Source organism: Homo sapiens, chromosome 10 (assembly GCF_000001405.40).
Source record: "Homo sapiens chromosome 10, GRCh38.p14 Primary Assembly".
Classification (NCBI taxonomy): domain Eukaryota; kingdom Metazoa; phylum Chordata; class Mammalia; order Primates; family Hominidae; genus Homo; species Homo sapiens.
Window position 1 is genome coordinate 104,129,110 of NC_000010.11, and position 22,449 is coordinate 104,151,558.

The 22,449-nt window shown below is 37.0% G+C and overlaps 1 protein-coding gene across 1 annotated transcript in view, besides 1 other annotated feature; it reads right to left on the reverse strand.

The window, feature by feature from the left end:
• Positions 779 to 22,449, reverse strand: part of CFAP43 (cilia and flagella associated protein 43) — a 102,477-nt gene continuing 80,806 nt past the window's right edge. Inside the window, exons 29-38 of the mRNA NM_025145.7 lie at positions 18,782 to 18,889; positions 17,154 to 17,240; positions 16,367 to 16,455; positions 14,317 to 14,530; positions 13,172 to 13,284; positions 11,733 to 11,892; positions 4,511 to 4,675; positions 3,007 to 3,087; positions 2,222 to 2,375; positions 779 to 1,196 (exon numbers count right to left, since the gene is read on the reverse strand). Of these exons, the coding sequence (NP_079421.5) occupies positions 1,030 to 1,196; positions 2,222 to 2,375; positions 3,007 to 3,087; positions 4,511 to 4,675; positions 11,733 to 11,892; positions 13,172 to 13,284; positions 14,317 to 14,530; positions 16,367 to 16,455; positions 17,154 to 17,240; positions 18,782 to 18,889 (1,338 nt within the window). The 3' untranslated portion in view covers positions 779 to 1,029. The remainder of the gene's footprint in view (positions 1,197 to 2,221; positions 2,376 to 3,006; positions 3,088 to 4,510; positions 4,676 to 11,732; positions 11,893 to 13,171; positions 13,285 to 14,316; positions 14,531 to 16,366; positions 16,456 to 17,153; positions 17,241 to 18,781; positions 18,890 to 22,449) is intronic.
• Positions 17,682 to 18,213: an enhancer, noted in NCBI's record as "OCT4-NANOG hESC enhancer chr10:105906549-105907080 (GRCh37/hg19 assembly coordinates)". NCBI's record gives its function as "activates a minimal SCP1, AML or CMV promoter by ChIP-STARR-seq in naive H9 embryonic stem cells {active_cell/tissue: H9 hESC(naive)}" and the evidence as "EXISTENCE:reporter gene assay evidence [ECO:0000049][PMID:30033119]".

The following is a 22,449-nucleotide window of genomic DNA, read 5'->3' on the forward strand; positions in this document are numbered from 1 at the left end:
CTCATTATATAATTATCACCATCTAAAAGTGATAAACTACTTCATGGAAATAAGAAAGTATTTTTCTGTTGGTTAAACCCTATTGGGTAAAGCACAAAATTGAATTTTCTATTACAACATAAAAGAAATGTAGATTATGTCTCTAAAGTATGTTGTAATTTTCTTCTGAGATGGAGTCTCGCTCTGTTGCCCAGGCTGGAGTGCAGTGGCACATTCTCGGCTCACTGCAACCTCCACCTCCTGGGTTCACACCATTCTGCTGCCTCAGCCTCCCCAGTAGCTGGGACTACAGGCGCCTGCCACCACCCACCACGCCCGGCTAATTTATTTTTATTTTTATTTTTTATTTTTAGTAGAGATGGGGTTTCACCATGTTAGTCAAGATCTCCTGACCTCGTGATCCACATGCCTCGGCCTCCCAAAGTGCTGGGATTACAGGCGTGAGCCACCGTGTCTGGCCAAAATATGTTGTAATTTACAAATGATACAAGGCTTGGAAAAAGCTCTAACAATTTGTCTTGTTCTCATTGGTGCAGCAGAGAATAATCTAAATACTCTCGTAATTTTTTTCTGATTATGAAAGAAATGCTTACTGAAGAAAATGAGAAACAGAAGAGCATAAAGATAAAAATTACCCATAATCTCATAACTTTTCTGACAGTTTCATAAAATTAGAAATGCTAGTTTGGCAAAGAATTTCTTTTTAAGACTTTCTATACCATAACTATGAAAATATCTTTGATCCAACTCAGATTAAATGAGTAAAATAGATCTTGAATACTTTCTGACTTCAAGTCTTGTTTATTCTTGAATAAAAACAGCAATTCATGGTATTTTACACATTTATTCATGCAGGACAAAAATTTGTATACAATTAAGGCTAAAATTAAACAATTTTTTATCTAAAACATGCAACTCAGAGGACATGCTACTTCAATTTCCCAGTAAGAAAGAAAAGGAAATCATTTTACCCAAATGAAATGATTTTTTAAATGATTGATTTGGCCTTGTGTTTTCCTGCCAGCGTTTTTACATTTGAACAAGAGCAGGAAATGTTTTCATTCTTAATCTTTCAACTTCAGTCTGTAGTATTGAAATCTGTTCAGCTTGTTGTTTTGAAATATTTGTTAACTTCTGCTGTTGCATCATGTTTTCATACCGTTCTTTGACAATCTTTTCACAAGTCAGTTTAGACCCTATCCCAAAAATGAATAAAGGAATTCGATTATTTATCAATACTTTCAAATACAGAAGCAGCACTCAGAATCATACATGTGGAAGAAATGCTGGTAGCAAAAAGGCATATGCACTTGTATGTTTACAGCAGCACTATCACAAAAGCAAAGACATGGAGTCACCCTAGGTGCCCCATCAACAGTGGACTGGATAAAGAAAATGTGGTACATATACACCATGGGACACTACACAGCCATAAAAAAAAGAATGAAATAATGTCCTTTGCAGCAACATGGATGTAGCTGGAAGCCATTATCCTAAGCAAATTAACACAGGAACAGAAAACCAAATACCACATGTTCTCACTTATAAATGGGAGCTAAACAGTGGATACTCATGGACATAAAGATGGTAACAGGGAACACTTGGAGGCCAGGTGTGGTGGCTCACACCTGTAATCCCAGCACTTTGGTTAGCTGAGGTGGGCGGATCTCTTGAGCTCAGGAGTTCGAGGCCAGCCTGGCCAACATGGCAAAACCTACTCTCTACAAAACATACAAAAATTAGCCGGGCATGGTGGTTCCTGCCTGTGGTCCCAGGCACTTGAGGGGGCTGAGGTGGGAGGATCAATTGAGCCCAGGAGGTGGAGGTTGCATTGAGCCAAGATCATACCACTGCACTGCAGCTTGGGCAACAGAGGGACACCCTGTCTCAAAAAAAAAAAAAAAAAAAAAAAGAAAAGAAACACTGGGGACTACTAGAGGGAGGAGGCAGGGAGGGAGGAAGGGCTGAAAAATTATGGGGTACTATGCTCAGTACCTGTGTGACGGAATCATTCCGTACCCCAAACCTCAGCATCACACAATATACCTAAGTAACAAACTTGTACATGTACTCCCTGAATCTAAAATAAAAGTTGAAATTATTTTAAACAATGTATTTTTAAAGAAATGCTGATAGCTTTTTAACTGTTGTATACATTTTAGGATTACTGATTACTTTTAAAGAAACCTACAGTTGGTTAAAGAAAAAAAAGCATGCTTACCCATTGCATTACAGATGTCTTTTCTCTCTGAGACAGCTACCAACTCTTCTCGTAGATTGCAGCTTAGGGCATAATTTGCTATATCTTTTTGATTGCTGAACTTTCCAAGTTTTTTGAGTAGTTTCTTGCAGTTTTCCACATTCTTTTTGTGCATCTGAAATTTTTGTTCCCATGACACCCCACAAAATTAATTTTGAAAAATGTAATTTATCCTATAAAGACATTATTCTTATATTTTAAATACATTATCATCATTAAGATAACATCTTACCGCCATATCTGTAGTGCCTGGCATAGTAGGCACTCGAGTTATTTGTTGAAAGGTAGAATGGTATGTTAATAACAAATTTTAGAAAAAACATTTTGTATATTCTTAAACTGAGAGAATATTTTAAAAGCTTGAGATTGCTTTGTTTCTAATATATGCTACATAATAAAAACTGACCATTTTTATTCAGTGATGATTAAATAAAACCTTTCCAATGCCAAGGAAAGACTACCAACACTCCTATTACATAAATCCTAACCTAATGTAAAATAGAAAATCCACTTACACTCAGATATGTCCCCAGGGGTTAATTCTAATATTAAAGGAAGTGCTTAATTTTATTTCATTAGTTGCGGTTGCAAAGATACTACTTAGGGACTTTTAATTACCTCATGAATACTAGTAAATAACCAAGATTTTATTAGGGTCTAGGTAAATTCATGATTTGAAACACTATTACTTTGCTCAAATGATTTACAACTGTTAGGATATAATAACCAACGTCTTTGAGACTTACCTTATCTAAAACAGCAATGGTTTGTTCCATTATTCCAATCTGAATACTAATCAGAGCCTCATAGTTTGGTTCATTTAGGTACTTTGAGATTAAAAAAAAACATGTAAGGATATTTTTCTCTCTTTCAATAGATGACTTTATAAAGGTTGTTTTAGCTTTGAAAGTTACTGTTTTTCATAACAAATATCTATGCAAGTTAAGATTGATTTGGCTTGGCCAGGCGTGGTGGCATACGCTTGTAATCCCAGCACTTTGGGAGGCTGAGGCAGGTGGATCACCTGAGGTCAGGAGTTCAAGACCAGCCTGACTAACATGGTAAAACCTTGTCTCTACTAAAAAATACAAAAAATTAGTTGGGCGTGGTGGCACATGCCTGTAATCCCAGCTGCTCCGGGAGGGTGAGGCAGGAGAATTGCTTGAACCCAGGAGGTGGAGGTTGTAGTGAGCGGATATCACACCATTGCACTCCACCTGGGCAAAAAGAGCAAAACCCCATCTCAAAAAAAACAAAAAAAGATTGATTTGGCTTTTGTGCCATAATATTTCCCTGTATTTAGCCATCAATACATTCATGTACACTAATTATTACATCAAAGCACCAATTATTACAAATGCCTACTTTATTTTCTCATTCATTAATTCATTTATTCAACTCACCAAACATTTAAGTGTTGTTCCACTTGAGTCCCACATTAACAAAGTCCTAGTTAAAGACACTGAGGGAGATACAAAGATAGATAACATGTCCTAGTCTTCATGGGAAAATGATCACATAGATATGATTGGTTGCCAGAAGCCATGTAGAGTGTCATGCTAATTCAAAGGTGGTTTGTAATGAGATGGAATTTCTCCAGGCTTGGAAAATCAAGAAAGGTTTTATGAAGGAGAAGGTGGTATTTAAACTAGACCTTGAAAAGTAGATTTGGGATGTACAAAAAAGGCAAACTAAGAAGAGCTGCTGGGAGGTGAAAACTATAGAAATGGGGCATGGCTTGGAATCCACAGAACTTGGATTAGTTTGTAGGAGTGATCGTTGAAGTTAGAAAAACAGAGGACATCACCCAGGGAGAGGTATGGAAAGAAACACAAACATAGCTAAGGGCAAAATCTTGAAGAACGGCTATATTGAAGTGTTAGAGGCAAAAGAGAATCCAGTAAAAGAGGTAGAGTGGTATGACATGTTGGAAGCAAAATTAATTTGGGGTGATGAAAGCCAAAGGAATGAGAAATTAAGATGGTTAAATGCTACAGAGAATTGAAGGACCACCGGGTTTGACAGGAAATCCTTAGCTCTGAGTAGAATGATTCTACTAAATGGGTCATGAAGAACTGGAGGCTGCAAATGTAAACTGTTGGAAGAAAAATAACTCACAGATATATTTTGAAACACTCCTGGCTTAGAATATGCTTGATATCACAGAGGCTTCTTATTAAATACTGGTTAAATGAATGAATACATTAATGAATAAAATTAAAACTATGTAGGGGGGTAGGGAGAATTTACCTTTTGACGATCTCTTGAAAAAAATAGCATCTGAATATCCCAAGCCTTCTGATTTAGATCTTCCCTTTCCATCTCCATTTTCTTATGTTCCCACTCAATCTGAAGTATTCTTTTGTGTACATCTTTACTTTCCATCATGCTAGCAACTTTCTTTTGTCCTTGAGTCTTTAAAAAAGTACATTAGATATCCATATAATATGATTCTGCATATAGAACATAGAATATTTGAGGCTGAATGCTATTTTTAGAAAATACTTGGGTCACAGAGATAATTCTGTCTTCTTTTTAAGAAACAGACATTAAAAATGGCTTCTTGGGCAAAATCTGATCACTATAAAGCATGATAGTCACTAAACAGAAGGGATTATAAGATACATTTAAATAGCAGAGCCAATTTACTTTATATGTCAACAATTAGGCAGGAACTTTTTTTTGCCATCACCCAATCTACCAACCTGTATGCATTTGTATCCCTATTCATTGTCCTCCCACCTGATGCTGGGTGTGGTGTCTCATGCCTGTAATCCCACCACCTTGGGAGGTTGAGGCAGGAGGAATGCTTAAGCTCAGGAGTTTGAGACCAGCCTAGGCAACAGAGCAAGACCTCAACTATACGGAAAATCAAAAAATTAGCCTGGAATAGTGGTGCACGCCTGTGGTCCCAGCTACTCAGGAGGCTGAGGCAGGAGGATCACTTGAGCCCAGGAAGTCAAGGCTGCAGTGAGCCGTGTTCATGCCACTGCACTCCAGCCTGGGTGACAGAGCAAGACCCTGTCTCAAAAAAAGAAAGAAAGAAAACAGAAAAACAATAGTCAATGATGAAACCAAAAGTTGGTTCTTTTAAAAAATCAGCAAAATTGACAAACCTTTAGCTAGACTGACTAAGAAAAAAAAGGCTCAAATTGCTAAAATAAGAAATGAAATCAAGAATATTACTACCAATATTACAGAAATTAAAAGGATTATAAGAGAATACTATGAAAATTCTACACCAACAAATTAGGTAACTTAGATGAAATAGAAAATTCCTAGAAACACACAAACTATAAAAACCAATTCAAAAAGTAATAGAAAATTTTAATAGACCTAAAACAAGTAAATAATTGAATCAGTTATCAAAAACCTCCCAAAAAAGAAAAGCCCAGGACAAGAAGGCTTCACTGATGAATTCTATCAAACATTTAAAGAAAAATTACACCAATACTACTCAAATGTTTCCAAAAAATAGAAGAGGAGGGAACACTTTCTAATATATTATATGAGGCCAGCAGTACCTTGATACCAAAGCCAGAGAAAGACATCACAAGAAAATTACAGACCAATATCCCTTATGAATACATACACAAAGACAAAAACGTTCAATAAAATACTAGCAAACTGATTCCAGCAGCACATTGAAAGGATTATAACTATGACCAAGTGTCATTTATCCTAAGATTGCAAGAGTAGTCCGCACAATCAAACAATATAATATACCTCATTAACAGAACAAATTTAAAAACTCACATGATCATGTCAATTGATGTAGAAAAAAAAAATTGACAAAATCCAGCACACTTCAATGATTAAAAAAAATATATGCAACAGACTTGGAATAAAAGGGAACTTCCTCAACATGATAATGGGAATTTACAGAAAACCCATCATAACTTCATACTCAATGATAAAAGACTGAAAGCTTTCCAACTAAGATCAGGAACGAGACAAGGATGTCCCACTTTTTGTCACTTTGATTCAACACTGTAATAAAAATTCTAGTCATGGCAATTAGGCAAGAAGAAGAAATAAAAGGCACCCAAACTGAAAAGATGTAAAACAATTTCTATTCACAGATTAATGAGTCTATATATATAGAGAAAGTCATATAGAATCCACAAAAACCCTACTAGAGATAATACATAAATTTGGCAAAGTTGCAGAGTATAAGATTAATATGCAAAAATCAGTTATATTTTTATACATCACCACTGAAAAATCTGGAAAAGAATTAATAAATCAATTCCATTTACAATAATATCAGAAAGAAAAAACCTAGAAATAAAGTTTATCTAAAAAGTGTGTGTACAAAGAAACCTACAAAATATTACTGAAAGAATATAAAGATTAAATAAATGGAAAGTCATCCCATGTTCTTGGATCAAAAGACTTAAGACAGTACTCCTCAAAGGAATCTATAGATTTAATGCAATCACTGCCAAAATTTCAATGGCTTTTTTTTTTCAAATGGAAAAACCTGATCCTCAAATTCATATGAAGCTGCAAAGGATCATGAATAGCCAAAACAATATTGAAAACAAAAAGTTGGATGGCTAACATTTCCCTACTTCAAAGAAGAAAACAGGGACTGAGGCCAGGCACAGTGGCTCACGCCTGTAATCCCAGCACTTTGGGAGGCTGAGGCAGGCAGATCACCTGAGGTCAGGAGTTTGAGACCAGCCTGGCCAACAAGGTGAAACCCTGTCTCTACTAAAAATACAAAAATTAGCTGGGCATGGTGGTGGGCGCCTGTAAATCCCAGCTACTCAGGAGGCTGAGGCAGGAGAATCGCTTGAATCCGGGACATGGAGGTTGCAGTGAGCCAAGATCATACCACTGTGCTCCAGCCTGGGAGACAGAGCGAGAATCCATTTCTCCATTTCAAAAAAAAAAAAAAAAAAAAGAAGAAAAGAAAAGAAGAAAGAAAACAGGGATAAATCTTCATGACTTCAGATTTGATTCTTAGATATTTACTTATTTTATTTTATTTTATTTTATTTTATTTTATTTTTTGAGACAGAGTCTTACTCTGCCACCCAGGCTGGAGTGCAGTGGCGCCATCTCGCCTCACTGCAACCTCCGCCTCCCGAGTTCAAGTGAGTCTCCTGCCTCAGCCTCCTGAGTGGCTGGGATTACAGGTGCCTGCCACCATGCCCGGCTAATTTTTGTATTTTTAGTAGAGACGGGGTTTCACATCTTGGCCAGGCTGGTCTTAAACTCCTGACCTCAGGTGATCCCACCTCAGCTTCCCAAAGTGCTGGGATTACAGGCATGAGCCACCGCACACGGCCTGATTCTTAGATTTAACACCAAAAACATGAGACAATCCACAGAAGGGGATAAAATATTGGCAAATTATATAAGGGTTTAATGTCCAGAACATATAAAAAACTCCTATAACTCAACAACAAAACCTAATTTGAAAATGGGCAAAAGACTTCAGTAGTCATTTGTCCAAAGATATACAAATGGTCAACAAGCATATGAAAAGATGCTCAATGTCATTAGTCATTAGAGAAATTTACATCAAGAATAAACCCACTAAGATGGCTGTAATTAAAAAGCAAGCAAGCAAACAACAAAAAAGAGAAACAATAACAAGTTTTGATAGGGACGTAGAGAAAGTGAAACCCACATACTTTGCTGGTGGGAATATGAAATGGTGCAGCTACTATGGAAAACAGTTTTTAGTGCCTCAATCAGTTAAACATACAATGACCATACGATCCAGCAATTCCACTTCTAGGTATATATCCCCAGAGAACTGAAAACAGGTTTTCAAAAACTTGTGCATGAACAGTTATAGGCACCACAATAGCCAAAAGGTGGAAATAGCCCAAATATTCACCAGCTGATGAATGGATAAACAAAATGTATATCCATAAAATGAAATATGATTTGGTCACAAAAGAAGAATGAAGACTGATACATGCTACAACATGGTTAAATCTTAAAAACATGCTAAGTGAAAGAAGCCAGAAAACAAAGGCCACATATTGTATGATTCCATTCATACAAAATACTAAGAATAGGCAAATCCATACAGAAAATGCAGATTAGTGGTGTCCAGGGGCTAAGGGAAGAGGTGGATGGGGAATAATTGCTTAATGGGTGTGGGGTTTCCTTTTAGGATGATAAAAAATGTTCTGAGGCCGGGTGGGGTGCCTCACTCCTGTAATTCCAGCACTTTGGGAGGCTAAGGCAGGAGGATCGCTTGAGCCCAGGAGTTTGAGACCAGCCTGGGCAACATGGTGAAACCCCATCTCTACCAAAAAAATATAAAAATTAGCCAGGTGTGGTGGCACGTGCCTGTAATTCCAGCTACTGAGGTGGGAGAATGGCTTCAGTCTGGGAGGCGGAGGCTGCAGTGAGCTGAGATCATGCTCCGGCACTCCAGCCCAGATGACAGAGCCAGACCCTGTCTCAAAAAACAAAAAACAAAACAAAACAAAAATGTTCTGGAACTAGATAGCAGTACTAGCTGCACAACTTTGCGATGTATTAATTGCCACTGACTTGCACACTTTAAATGGTTAAAATAGTACATTTTATGTTATGTGTATTATACCACAATAAAAATATCTCTAAAAAACTAAGTTACAAAGCAATCAACACACCTAGATCAGAGATGACAGGTGTTAGAACTATCAGATGGGAAATTTAAAATAATTATGACTAATTTCCTTATAAAGAGTATAGCATGGAACAGTGGAGAAAAAGTAACTTTATAGTAAAGAAGCCTGACAAAACTCTACCTCAATTCAGGTGGTCAAGATTCAATAAACAGTGATGACATGTTGATAGCATGTATCCTTGAAATCATGTGCTGAGAGGGCATTTTACCTCTGTGGTCTCTTTCTCCATACTCCAGGCGAATAGTGATAAATACATCAGAGAAACCACAGTTGAGGGACATTCCACAAAATAACTGACTATTACTCTACAATAAACTGTCAAGGTCATCAAAAACAAGACAAAACTGAGAAACTGTCACTATCTAGAAAGAAATGACAACTGGCCGGTGGCACGGTGGCTCAGGCTTGTAATCCCAACACTTTGGGAGGCTGAGGTGGGCGGATCACCTGAGGTTGGTAGTTCGAGACCAGCCTGACCAACATGGAGAAACCCCGCCTCTACTGAAAATACAAAATTAGCCAGGTGTGGTGGCGCATGCCTGTAATCCCAGCTACTCGGGAGGCTGAGGCAGTAGAATCGCTTGAACCCAGAAGGTGGAGGTTGCAGTGACCTGAGATAGTGCCATTGCACACCAGCCTGGGCAATAAGAGCAAAGCTCAGTCTAAAAAGAAAAAAAAAAAAAGAAAGACATGACAACTAAATAAAATGCATCCTGATGAGATCCTGGAACAGAAAAATGACCTTAAGTAAAAACTAAGGAAAAGTGAATAAAGTTTGTACTTTAGTTAATAATAATGTGTCAATATTAGTTCAATAGTTGTGGCAAATGTACCATACTGATGGAAAATAATAAAATATAAGAAACTGGATAAGGGGTATATGAGAATTCTCTGTACTATCTTTACAACTTTTCTAAAACAAAAATTTTTGGAAAGGATAGACAACATGCATGAACAAATGGGGAATTTCAGCAGAGGGATGGAAAGTATAAGTTAAACAGAAATACTAAATGTAAGTCTATCTATCTGTCTGTCTATCTATCTATCTATCTACAATAATATGGTAACAGATATTTTGCCTTTGATGGGCTCATTATCAGACTAGACACAGCATAAGAATGAATGAACTTGAATATAGGGCAATAGTAATTACCCAAACTGAAACATAAAGAGAACAAAGAGTGAAAAACAATGAGTATGGAATATCTAAGAGATGTGGAACAGTATCAGACAATCTGACACGTGTGTAATTGGAATCCCAGTAGAAAAAGAGAGAGCGAAAGGGGCAGAAGAAATATTCAGAGATAATAAATAAGAATTTTCCAAAGATAATGACAAATATCAAATCACAGATTGAGGAAGCTCAGAGAAGCTCAAGAATCTCACGCACACATGTGCATACCGCCCCCTATCCCCACCTAGACACATTGTGTTCAAACTGCTGAAAAACAAATAAAAAATCTCAAAGCCAGACACATTAAATTCAGATGAACAAAGATAAAAAATATAGCAGAAACCTTGTCAGAAACTATCTAGATGTTCAGAAGAAAATGAACATCTTTAAAATGAAAAGAGAGAGAGAGAGAACAAATGAACGAACCTGGCAATCCAGTGAATCTAGCAAAGTATCTTTCAACAATGAAGGTGATTAAAAACTTTTTCAGATAAAGAAAAATGGAGAGAATTCATTACTAGCAGGCTTGTACTTCAATTAAGTTAAAGGAAGTTCTTTAAGCAGAAGGTAAATGATACAAGATGGAAATTTGGATCTACACAATGAAATAAAGATCTTTTGAAATAGTGAAAATTAAGGTAAATAGAAAATACCTCTTTTCACATTTTTATTATTCTAAAAGATAATTGTCTAAAGCAAAAAATAATAGCAATATGTTTTGTGTTTATAGCATTTGTAAAAATAAAATGTACAGTAGCATTATCATCTAATTCCCAAATAGCACAAAATCCGCAAATATTTAGAAATTAAATAACACGCTTTTAAATAACCCATGAATCAAATAGGAAGTCACAACAGAAATTAGAAAATATGTAAAAGAAAATTAAAACACAAAATATTAAAATTTGTAGAATACAGATAAAATAAAGCTTATAGGGAATATTTTTTTAGGACTCAATTATACCTAAAGCTTATACAGAAATAACATTAAATGTTCATATTAGAAAAGAAGTAAGGTCTGAAATCAACTAACTAAGCTTATCTAAGATTATCTTTGCCTGAGTAGGCTGGGCCTAAAAAAACGATGGCATACTAGAATGGACATTTAGCTCTGTGATCCTTCTTGAACCTTAGAATTATGGAGGGAGCTTTTAAAAAATACTCATCCTGGGGGTGGGGTCTGAGCACATTTATAAAGTTCTTCAAATGATTCTAATGTGCAACCACAGTTAGGAAACCACTGACTTAATTGAATTAAAATTACTTATGAAAATGGGAGAATAATGTAAAATATTTGGTACAGCAGGCAATATGTTTTGTCTTTAAACAAGTATAATTGGCCAGGTGCAGTGGCTCCTGCCTGTTAATTCCAGCACTCTGGGAGGCCAGAGCAGGAGGATCACTTGAGCTCAGGAGTTTGAGAACAGCCTGGGCAACATATTAAGACTCTGTTTTTACAAAAAACTAATTTTAAAACAATTAGCTGGGTGTGGTGGTGTGAACCTGTACTCCCAGCTACTTGGGAGGTGAAGGTGGGAGGATCTATTGAGCCTAGCTAAGGGTTAAGGCTGCAGTGAGCCATGATTGTGCCACAAGACTCTAGCCTGAGTAACAAAGCAAGACCTTGAATTAAAATAAAAATAAAAAGTATAATTACCCGAATCACAGAATTCAAGTCTTCAATTATGTTCTTGTTGATGAGAATTGCATCAGAATACTCCAGTACTAGCTGGAAATTTTCCAGTTCTACTTGTCCTTGTTTAAGAAGAATTTGGATTGTCAAATTCAACTGGAATCTCACTTTCTCTTCCTGTAATCTGAATTGAAAAGTACTTCAAAGCAAGTAGTTGTAATATATTTCAAATTTCACCTATTATCTGAGAATATAAAAATCGAATCAGCTTAAGGAAAACATGCTGGAGATTAGTGTGGAGAATATTTTCCTGATGATGAGCTTTCCTAGAGGTCTCTCTGAAACCTCTTCCTATTGATGCAGAATTATACCTGGGTTGCTCAAAAAATGGTATGGACAGAAATACATTTATAGATTTTTACTTTAGGATTAAGAAAAGATTGTATAATTTTGACGGTAATAAAAGTAAAGTAAAAATGAAGAAAATAGAGACACTTTTAAATAACAAATCTGGCCAGGCGCAGTGGCTCATGCCTGTAATCCCAGCATTTTGGGATGCCGAGGTGGGTGGATCATCTGAGGTCAGGAGTTCGAGACTAGCCTGGCCAACATGGCGAAACCCCATCTCTACTAACAATACAAAAATTAGCCAGGGGTGGTGACAGGCACCTGTAATCCCAGCTGCTTGGGAGGCTGAGGCATGAGATCTCTTGAACCTGGGAGGTGGAGACTGCAGTGAGCCCAGATCGTGCCACTGCACTCCAGCTTGTGTGACAGAGTGAGGCTCCATTTCAAAATAAATAAATAAATAAATAAAATAACTCTATTAAAATTCTGAACTTATTTATTGATTTCTGATACTATACTAACAATATTTAATATGTAAGTTACTTAACAAATCTATTTCTGGGTAATTCATATCCTCGCTATAGCCTAGATCTAAAAATGATGTGTTCTCAATGAATTTGGGAACATCAGAGAAGTATTTATCGATGAGGCTATAAATATAGCCAAAAAATGAAGCAAGGACTTAAATATCTTAATCACTTAGTAAACAACAAGTTCCCCTAAAGAAAAATATATCAGTTGGCTGCGTGTCTACATGGAAAGTTCTTAGACATCTGCTTAATTTTCCACATGGTTAGCTTATATGCCTTGAGCCCCAAAGTACTGAAAAACAGGTTCTTTGTATTTTTATGTGGAAGGGGCCGACTTAAAACAATACTAAGATTTTTCTGAAACTTGCTTATTTGTAATAAGAGCAACAAAACGTGGGAAAGTTCCATCCTGAATCAAGGTCTATGTAACAAAGCAGGCTTTTTAAAATAGAAATTTTAAAGCACAGTGCTGGAAGGGAGATGGCTGTAAAGCAGTCAGTAGGCATTCTCCCCAGTGATAACACAACCTGATTTAGCCCTAATTAGACTTTGAATAGGTGAACATGAAAGAAAGCTTCAAATTACAGGATGAGTTCATGGAACACTCTCTCAATCTCCTGTTGCACCTTCTCTTCCTCCTCAACTCTCTTCTGGAGGAAAGTTGCCATTTCCAATAAGTCAGCTGCTTTCTGCTTTACCTAAAGAAACCAAGCCAGAAACATGTCAGAACATATGGAGCTTCAATTTTAGACAACATACATCTTTTAACTTTTTAAATTTAAAAACCTTAACAGGTCTATCTTTCGAAGAAAGTAATAAAACATTTAAATTTAAATGTCTAAAACTTACATGGTATGTAACAATTTGAACGATTTGAAAGTATCAAATTTGCTTCTTGGTGAAAATCAAGTATGCAGGCAACTATAAATTCTTTTATATCTTATTTTTAAAATTTGTTCTCATCACTTTAAGTGAAATTATAGAATCCTAGGTACTTTAACAAAAATATGCCAGCCTGATGCATGTGGGCATTAAATTTAGGGAATTTGGGGTAGTGGTCAAGAAGCAACAAGAGGAAGGATTCTCTTCCCAAATAAAGACCCTCTTAAATTTTTACTCGTTGCCACATTCTAGCAAAACTATAAAGTTGGTTCTGCTGAGCCAAATATAATTCTAATCTATGCAAAATGAGATAACCTACAACAGTGCTGTCCAAGAAAAATATAACGTGAGCCATAAATGTGAGTCACATATGTAATTTTAAATTCTGTAGTAGCCGCATTATAAAAAGTGAAATCAAAGAAATGAACTTAATTTTACTAATATATTTTAATTAAATGTATCCAGAATATTATCACTTCAACCTATAATCAATATAAAAATATTAATGAGACATATTTCTTTTTGTTCATACTAAGCCTTCTAATGTGTATGTTTTCCACTTACAGCACATCTCAGTTAGGACTGGCAATATTTATTTCAAATGCATAATAACCACTTGTGGCTAATGGACACTATTTTGAACGGCACCAGTCTAAAAGCAACAGGCCTACACTTAGCCTTCAATAGCACCAGGGTTAATATAGTATTTCATTATCTTATTACTATGACCAAATACTACCCTAGCAGGGAAACCTAAATAATTAGCTTTTTTGGTTACACTGACCAATGTAAACTATGTATTTGATATTAGTACACTAAAAATTAAATTAAGTTAAAATAGTATATACTTTCTGTTCATTTTCCACTTTTGCTCGTCTTGTCATGCAGAAATGATTCCAGACCAAAGGGTCCAAGCCTTCTGGCATGTTACTAATATTGTCCAACTCATCCATAGCTTTCATTAACTGGGCAAAGGCATCCTTATTCAACTTGCCAGATCCTGGTAGTTCTCCGAAAGGGACAACGCTGGTTGTTTCTGAGTGCGTTTTCTGTTTGGAAATCCTGGTATTACCAAGAAAAGCCCATCAACATTTCACATTCTCATAAAAACATCAATGTGAAACAATTAGGCCCTTAGCACAGGCATAACACATTGTATGGCTCTTCCCTTTGCCATGTGATGGCTGGTAGGTGGGTTATTCCACAGATAAAGGGATCCACTTTGCCCTTCTTCCATACTCTCCAGGTTCTCAGACGTGACCTTGGCTAGACTACAGATGTCTCCAACTATTGTCAGCACTGACAGACAATTGTGTCTGTGCTAGGACACATTTCCTTTCTGTATACTGTAAGCAGGCAAATAAATCAACCCATCGTTTCACCTCAGCCTCCCAAAGTGTTGGGAGTACAGTGGTGAGCCACCACCTGGCCAATTCTGTTTTTATCTACATTAATAGATTAGTTTCATTTCCCTGTGCTTCAGCTGGAAAGGGAAGAAGGGTACAAAGATTTGGGCGAGGCACTCACTATCAAGATGCTTTACAGTACACTGTGAGGTTGAAACTATATTATCATCCCCATTCTCTAGATGAGGAAAGTCAGCCTGGGAGAGAAGCTCATGGCCCAAGGCTATCAGTCTGACAGGTGTTGAAGTTAGGATTTAAAGTTGATTCTGTTTGACAAGAAAGCTTGTGCTTTTCCCACTGCTGCGGGAGGTCTCACTTCTTTTTCCACAAGGAGAAGGTATGTAATTGGGCTAATTATCACTCACTCTTTTAAAAATAGGAAAACCGCCGGGCGAGATGGCTCACACCTATAATCCCAACACTTTGGGAGGTTGAGATGGGTGGATCACGAGGTCAGGAGATCGAGATCATCCTGCTCAACATGGTGAAACTCCGTCTCTACTAAAAATACAAAAATTAGCTGGGCGTGGTGGCATGTGCCTGTAGTCCCAGCTACTTGGCAGGCTGAGGCAGGAGAAACGCTTGAACCCGGGAGGCGGAGGTTGCAGTGAGCAGAGATCGTGCCACTGCACTCCAGCCTGGGTGACAGACAGAGACTCCGTCTCAAAAAAAAAGGAAAACCAAAACAAGAGGCATGTTCTAGGTTAAATTCCCTAGGTTGCCTATAACCTGTCAGAGTTTGTATCTCAAACACAAACTAGCTGACTACATCTTTGTGACAAACTCCTTGATTTCTAGATTACATTTGATTGAAAACTGGAAATCTGCATTTATAATGGTGGAAATCAGTGATACTTTCTTAGAACTCTTTTCAAATGGTTATTTTCTACCATTTATACTGGCATCTTTCAAACTTTAGGCACAAGCACATGAGATACTCTGAGGAAAAGCAATTTGTGGTCAAATAAGTTTGGAAAACGCTGCTTACTCTGTTTCTTACACTTGGAGATCCAAAGGCCAATAATACATTCTGCAGTAAAAGAAAAGCTGCTTAACTTCCTTTTTTTAACCCAGTATTTTCCCCAAACTTAGTTAGTCCTGGAAGCCTATTACAAGTAGTTCCGATTTATACATCAGGGAACTTGTGTTTGTTTGAACGCACTTTAGAAAAAACTGTTTTTAAATCTGTGTGCCATCTATGATGTAAGAGGAACTTCCTTAATGTACAAAGCAGAATCTACAATAGTACCGTGCTTACACAGATCCTTAACTATTTTTAAATAATGAAAATAAATCATTATTCTCTACCTTAAGATATAGACATAATCTCAAAAAATACTGAATTAGGATCAAAACCCTTAAACATCTCCACCTAAAAGATATTACACTGAATAATTCCATTTAATTGGGAGAAAAAAGCTGAAATCTAGTAACACTCCTCTTTATTTGCAAACTTTTTTCTCAGAAACACAATAGTGAAGGAGAAACAAACCTTGGTCGGCGTTTAAAAAGTTTGTAGAGTATATCCACTTGATGACCAGGAATTTCAGAAAATTCCTTTTTAAAGCTGCGATCCATAACCTAAGGACAAACATGACATTTGAGGACTGCAACTTGGTTTGGAAACCTTTTATTTGTTGACAATACTCTTCAAAATACAGGTGGTAGCACTTTGGTTTTAAAAATGCATGAAACCTTGATTTACAAAGTTGTTAGACATTAACCATTCTCTGTGCAATGATGTCTCAAAGATTTGTTTTGATAAGAAGCATCTAAGTGTATTAAAAATATTATTTCATATAACAGGTCTTAGAAATCATCCAGAAGTTTCCCAAAGAAGTGTCCCAAAATATATTTACCCAAAAAACATGAATGTTACTCTATTCTTTTCTTTTCTATTCCATTCTGTTCCATCTGTCTTCTTTATGCTATTCTATCCTATTCTTTTCCATTATAAAACTGCTGGTCATAACCTACTAAATTGATTTCATGGCCAAGTAATGGGGTCTGCAACCTAAAGTTTGAAAAGCCTTAAAGGCTAGATGATTTCCCTGTATTTTGTATAACAGAAAGCTTAAACCAGAGAAGCTTATAAAAATTCATTTTACACATGGATTTTCAAAAATATACAATGGCATAGAATGAAGTTCACCCATAGCTGAGAATTAAGTGGGAGAAAAATCTGTGAGAAAATTATATTATATCCCCTTTAACCTTCCTCCAATCCAGGCAGCAACAACTCTACTGCATTGTTGAGTGGGTAAGACAACAACTCTCACTTTGTCTTCTGCCAGTAAGTTGTCATAGTGCTCCTTGCACACATCCAGGTCTTCTCTAGATTTCCGAACAGCTTCTGAAGTCTGGCTCTATAACAGCATCAGGAATAGTTGATTGAAACTGGAGACTTTCCAGCATAAACAAAAATATTGGGGATACTAAAAAGAGCAAGGAATTTCCTAGTACAAGAGAAATATGTCTGTGAAGTATTTATTCATGAAGATAAGATTTATAGAAGAAAATACACCAATTGGGGACTTTGAAAGAACACCCAATCACCTGTTTCTAAGTACAGCCAACTCTGTGTATGAGTGTGTGAGTGTCTATGGAGCACACTGCATTCTTGGTAAGTCAGTGTGGAGGATGAAAGTGCACAGGCTTCGGAATCACATGGACCTGGGTTCTGAGAGACTGGATATACATGCAAACAAGGGCCAGACCATATGTAACAACAGAATTCTGACCCACAACCTCTACAATCATCAGCTGGGAAACTAAACCACAGCCTTTTTAAGGATTGGCCTCAAACTTTCAGGGCTTGATCATTACCACCAGCTTCTATAATTTTGTCCCCATTTCCAACCTAGGACCATCCAGAGAAAGCCAAATATGTTCCCTAAACCAGTAAAATGAGTTGTCCCGCTTCTAATTGGTTTGCCTCTAGCTTCCTCATGCCAACAACTTCCAATGATGTTGCATCTGAAGCCCTCTCTTCTTTGCACTATAAAGCTTTCCTACTCCTTTCCTGCCTTTGAGTCTGCCAAAAGTAACTGATGGTGGATGAGTCCCTTGCTGTGCCAAGCTCTGAATAAACAGCATCTGCTCATTTGCATTTGGATGTTCTTCACTTATTCCCACAGTTCCAGCTGCTGCTCTATTACACACTAGTGGCTGACTTAGGCATGCTACCCAGACTCTCTGAGATGGTATCCTCATCTGTGAAAGAAATCTAGTATGCTGCAGGGTTGCTATATGTAAAGTTGTATTTAGAAGAAGCTTTGCATATGCTGTTTAATAGGCTCTTAGAAAAAAGTTCATGTCATTTTTAAGTCACACATTCATAAATGCTCTTTACTAATACTACTAACAAAAGCTGACATTTGTAGAAACATTATGTGATAAACATTTTGTATTCATTGTCTTTTTAATGAACCATATCTATCCAAGCTCATATTTAGAGTTTTTCATAATACGGCAGTTTTTCATTCTATACGCAAGCCCATTGCTTACATCTTAGTAAATCTTAGCGTGTCCAGAGAGAAAAACATTCCCTAGGTAAGAGCTTGCAAATAGCTTAAAAGGTTATATGCCTTGTCCTAGGTCCCACAGCCAGTGCTTTCAACCATGAAGCTATATGGCCTCATTTTATAAACCATGTCATATGAAAGCTACACAGTTCTTTTGGCTAAATGATTGCAGATGCAGAATCACCTAACTTTATTAACAGATTGGAATGGTTACTTTCACCTGGCCCTGGAGCAAAGTTCCAGACAGGGAGCCAAGGGATGCACATGGTTATGTAGGAATGGTGCAAGGAAGGAAGGAAGGGTCTAGACACGTGAGCTCTTGCTAAATGAGGGGCATGTCTATCAGAAAATGCTTGTATTCAGATTTCAGACACTATTCTTACTTTCTCGTGCTGTTTCCTTGTAAGGTAGTTGTTCAGGAATTTTTCTCTAGAGCTTAATTCTTCATCCAACAATAAAGAAAATGCAAGGTTACTTATTTTCAGTTCCTCCTGTAGAAATATTTAAGAAAAAGGTTGGTGGAATTACTTCCACCTGAGACAATATTTTCTATAGACTTGGCACTAATCAAGCAAGTTTATGACATACACATAAACTTTAAAATGTAAGAGAAACATTTTAAAGAAAAAGGGAATACAGCTTATTGAAATAACTTCAGTTATTTTACCTTTTTCATAATTTCATTGTAAGGTAAATCACATATACAAAAAATACATAACATGAATATATAATTTAATGGGTTATTATAAAGGCAAACACTCTTGTTAGCACCACTTATCGCAAGAAACAGAACTTTACGACTGCAGTTGCTTCTTCCAGGAGTCCTCATCAAAATCTCAACCCCAGTACTAAACACTATCTTGACTTTTTATTATATATTGTGTTTCTTTGTAGTTTTATTACCCAGGGGTGTATAATGCTGTAGTTTGGATATTTGCCCCATCCAAACTGCATGTTGAAACGTGATCCCTGGTGCTGTAGGTGGGGCCTCATGGGAGGTGTTTGGGTCATGGGTATGGGTCCCTCATGAATAGATCAATTCCCTCCCTCAGGGGTGAGTGAGTTTATACTCTATTAGTTCCCCTGAGTGCTGATTGTTAAAGAGAGGATGGCACTCCCCTGCACCCTCTCTTGCCTCCTCTCTGACCATGTGATTTCTGCACACCCCAGCTCCCCTTCACCTGGCATAAATGGAAGCGGCCTGAGGCCCACATCAGATGCCCAATCTTGAACCTTCTAGACAGCAGAATTATGAGTCAGATAAACCTCTTTTCTTTATAAATTATGCAGCCTCAGGTATTATTTATAGCAACACAAAACAGACTAAGACAGAAACCTAGCCACTTCAGTATAACTTATTCATAATTTTTTTTCATGTCTTTTAAATCTCTTTTTACTACCTGGATGATGAAATAATCTGTACAACAAACTCCTGTGACATGAGTTTACCTACGTAACAAACCTATACATGTACCTCTGAACTTAAAGGTTAAAAATAAAATAAATCTCTTATACTCTTCACGTTCCCTTTCATTTCTTTTCCTCATAATTTATTTGTAGTTATCAGCAGTCTCTGTAGCATTGCAGAGTCTGGTTTTAATGCCTGTATATTCATGGTGTAGTTTATCAAGGCTTCATCCTTTTTATTTCTTGAAAAATGGCAGCTGGGTCCAGAAGCCTGATTAAATCTAAATTTGATCCTTTTAACAAGACTATAGGTGGTATTGTGTTCTTTGATCAGGAGACATATATCATCTGATTGTCTTTCTTTCTGTGATGTCAGCAGCTGCAGATACTCAACGCCCGGGTCCATTAATCCGTTGAGAGATGCAAAATGGTGAAAATCTGGTTTTAGTTTCCCTTTTCACTTATTAATTGAAATACTTTTATAAAGAGATGCTTCTCATCATCTACTATTTGGTTTCAAAGTGGTACACTTCAGTTCATATAGGAAAGGCAGACAAAATACTTGATGCTTTCCCTTTATCAGTTTTTAGATAATGAATTTGTTTTCATCCTCTGAAAGTGACTGATTGGCACTTCTCTTTTTAAAATATCATAAATTCATAAATTTAAACAAATGTGACGGGTTTAATTTTTTACAACTATTATCATCTTTGAATCTTAAATTGTCTCATTTAAAGGAAATGTTTTAAGTCAGCTCCTGAATTATTTTGATATTACTGAGTAGTCTGTTAGTTTCCTCATTATCTTATATGACATGAGGATCTCAGCATACCTTTAAAAAAATAACAACTTTGTTGAGATATAATTCACATACCATACAATTCACCATTTACAGTGTAAAATTCAGTGTATTTTAGTATATTTGCAGAGTTGTGTAACAATCACTACAATCAATTTTAGAACATTTCATCATTCCCCAAAAATTCTTTAGCCGTCATTTCCCATCTGCCCCTCTGTTACCTCCTAGAGGCCTCCTCCTCCCCACAAAAGCAACGACTTTCTAATTTCTGGCTTTATAAATTTGCCGTTTTAGAAACTATATGATTCCACAAAAATGGAATCATACAATATGTGGCCTTTGTTGTCTGGCTTCTTTGACTTAGCATGTTTTCAAGGTTCATCCATGTTGTACCATATATTAGCACATTCCTTTTTATTGTGGGATAATACTCCCTTGTATGGATACACCATATTTTACTCATCTGCTCTCAGCTGTTGAATATTTAGATTGTTTCCACCTTTTGGCTATGACTAATGCTGCTGTTAGGCTGGAGCATTCATTCCCAATCTTCCCCCTCACTCCCAGTATATCCATACATCCACTCCCTGCCAGGCCAGTGATTACATTCTTCTATCTGTGGCCACAACTCCCAAGAGCAGCCCCTTTCCCAAGGCTACAGGTCTTGCTGGTTCTGGGAACAGCTCTCTTTCCCTGCCTTTTTAGCTCTAGAGATGGTACTGGCCTCCCATTGTTTCTAATTACAACACATTTGCCACTCCTTGCTGTTTCCCTTAACCCTGCTCATACCTCTGTAAAAAGTCACTGAGGGAATTTAAATGTAACCTTTTCAGTGTACCATTCCTGTTGGGATCCTGGGGATATAGTCATCCTCCTGAAGATTCCCTTCACATCTCTCCAGTGTTGCACCATCTTTTCTCATTAAGCCCCCTGCTTTGGTCAGACATCTTTCAAAAGCTCTCATCAAATGAGTGCATGTAAATTTGGGAGACCCGGCATTTCTCAAAATATCATTATTCTCTTTTTTTAACTTTTATTTTAGGTTCAGGGGTACATATGCATGTTTGTTATCTAGGTAAACTTGTGTCATGGGGGTTTGTTGTACAGATTATTTTGTCACCAGGTACTAAGCCTAGTACCCAATAGTTATTTTTTCTGATCTTCTCCCTCCTCCCACCCACCACCCTCAGGAAACCAGACACCCCAGTATCTGTTGTTCCCCTCTATGTGCCCATGTGTTCTCATCATTTAGCTCCCACTTATAAGTGAGAGCATATCATATTTGGTTTTCTGTTCCTGTGTTGGTTTAATAAGGATTATGGCCTCCATCTCTACCCATGTTCTAGCAAAGGACATGATCTCATTCTTTTTGATGGCTGCACAGTATTCCATGGTGTATATGTCCCACATTTTCTCAATCCAGTTTATCATTGATGGGCATTTAGGTTGATTCCATGTCTTTGCTATTGTGAATAGTACTGCAGTGAACATATGCATGCATGTGTCTTTATAATAGAACAATTTATATTCCTTTGGGTATATACCCAGTAATGGGATTGCTGGGTTGAATGGTAGTTCTGTTTTTAGCTCTTTGAGGAATTGCCATACCGCTTTCCACAATTGTTGAGCTAATTTATATTCCCACCAACAGTGTATAAGCATTCCCTTTTCTCCACAGCCTCACCAGTATCTGTAATTTTTTTACTCTTTAGTAGTAGCCATTCTGACTAGTGTGAGATGGTATCTGGTATTTCATTGTGGTTTTGATTTTCATTTATCTAATGATCAGTGATGAGCTTTTTTTCATATGCTTGTTGGCCACATGTATGTCTTCTTTAGAAAAGT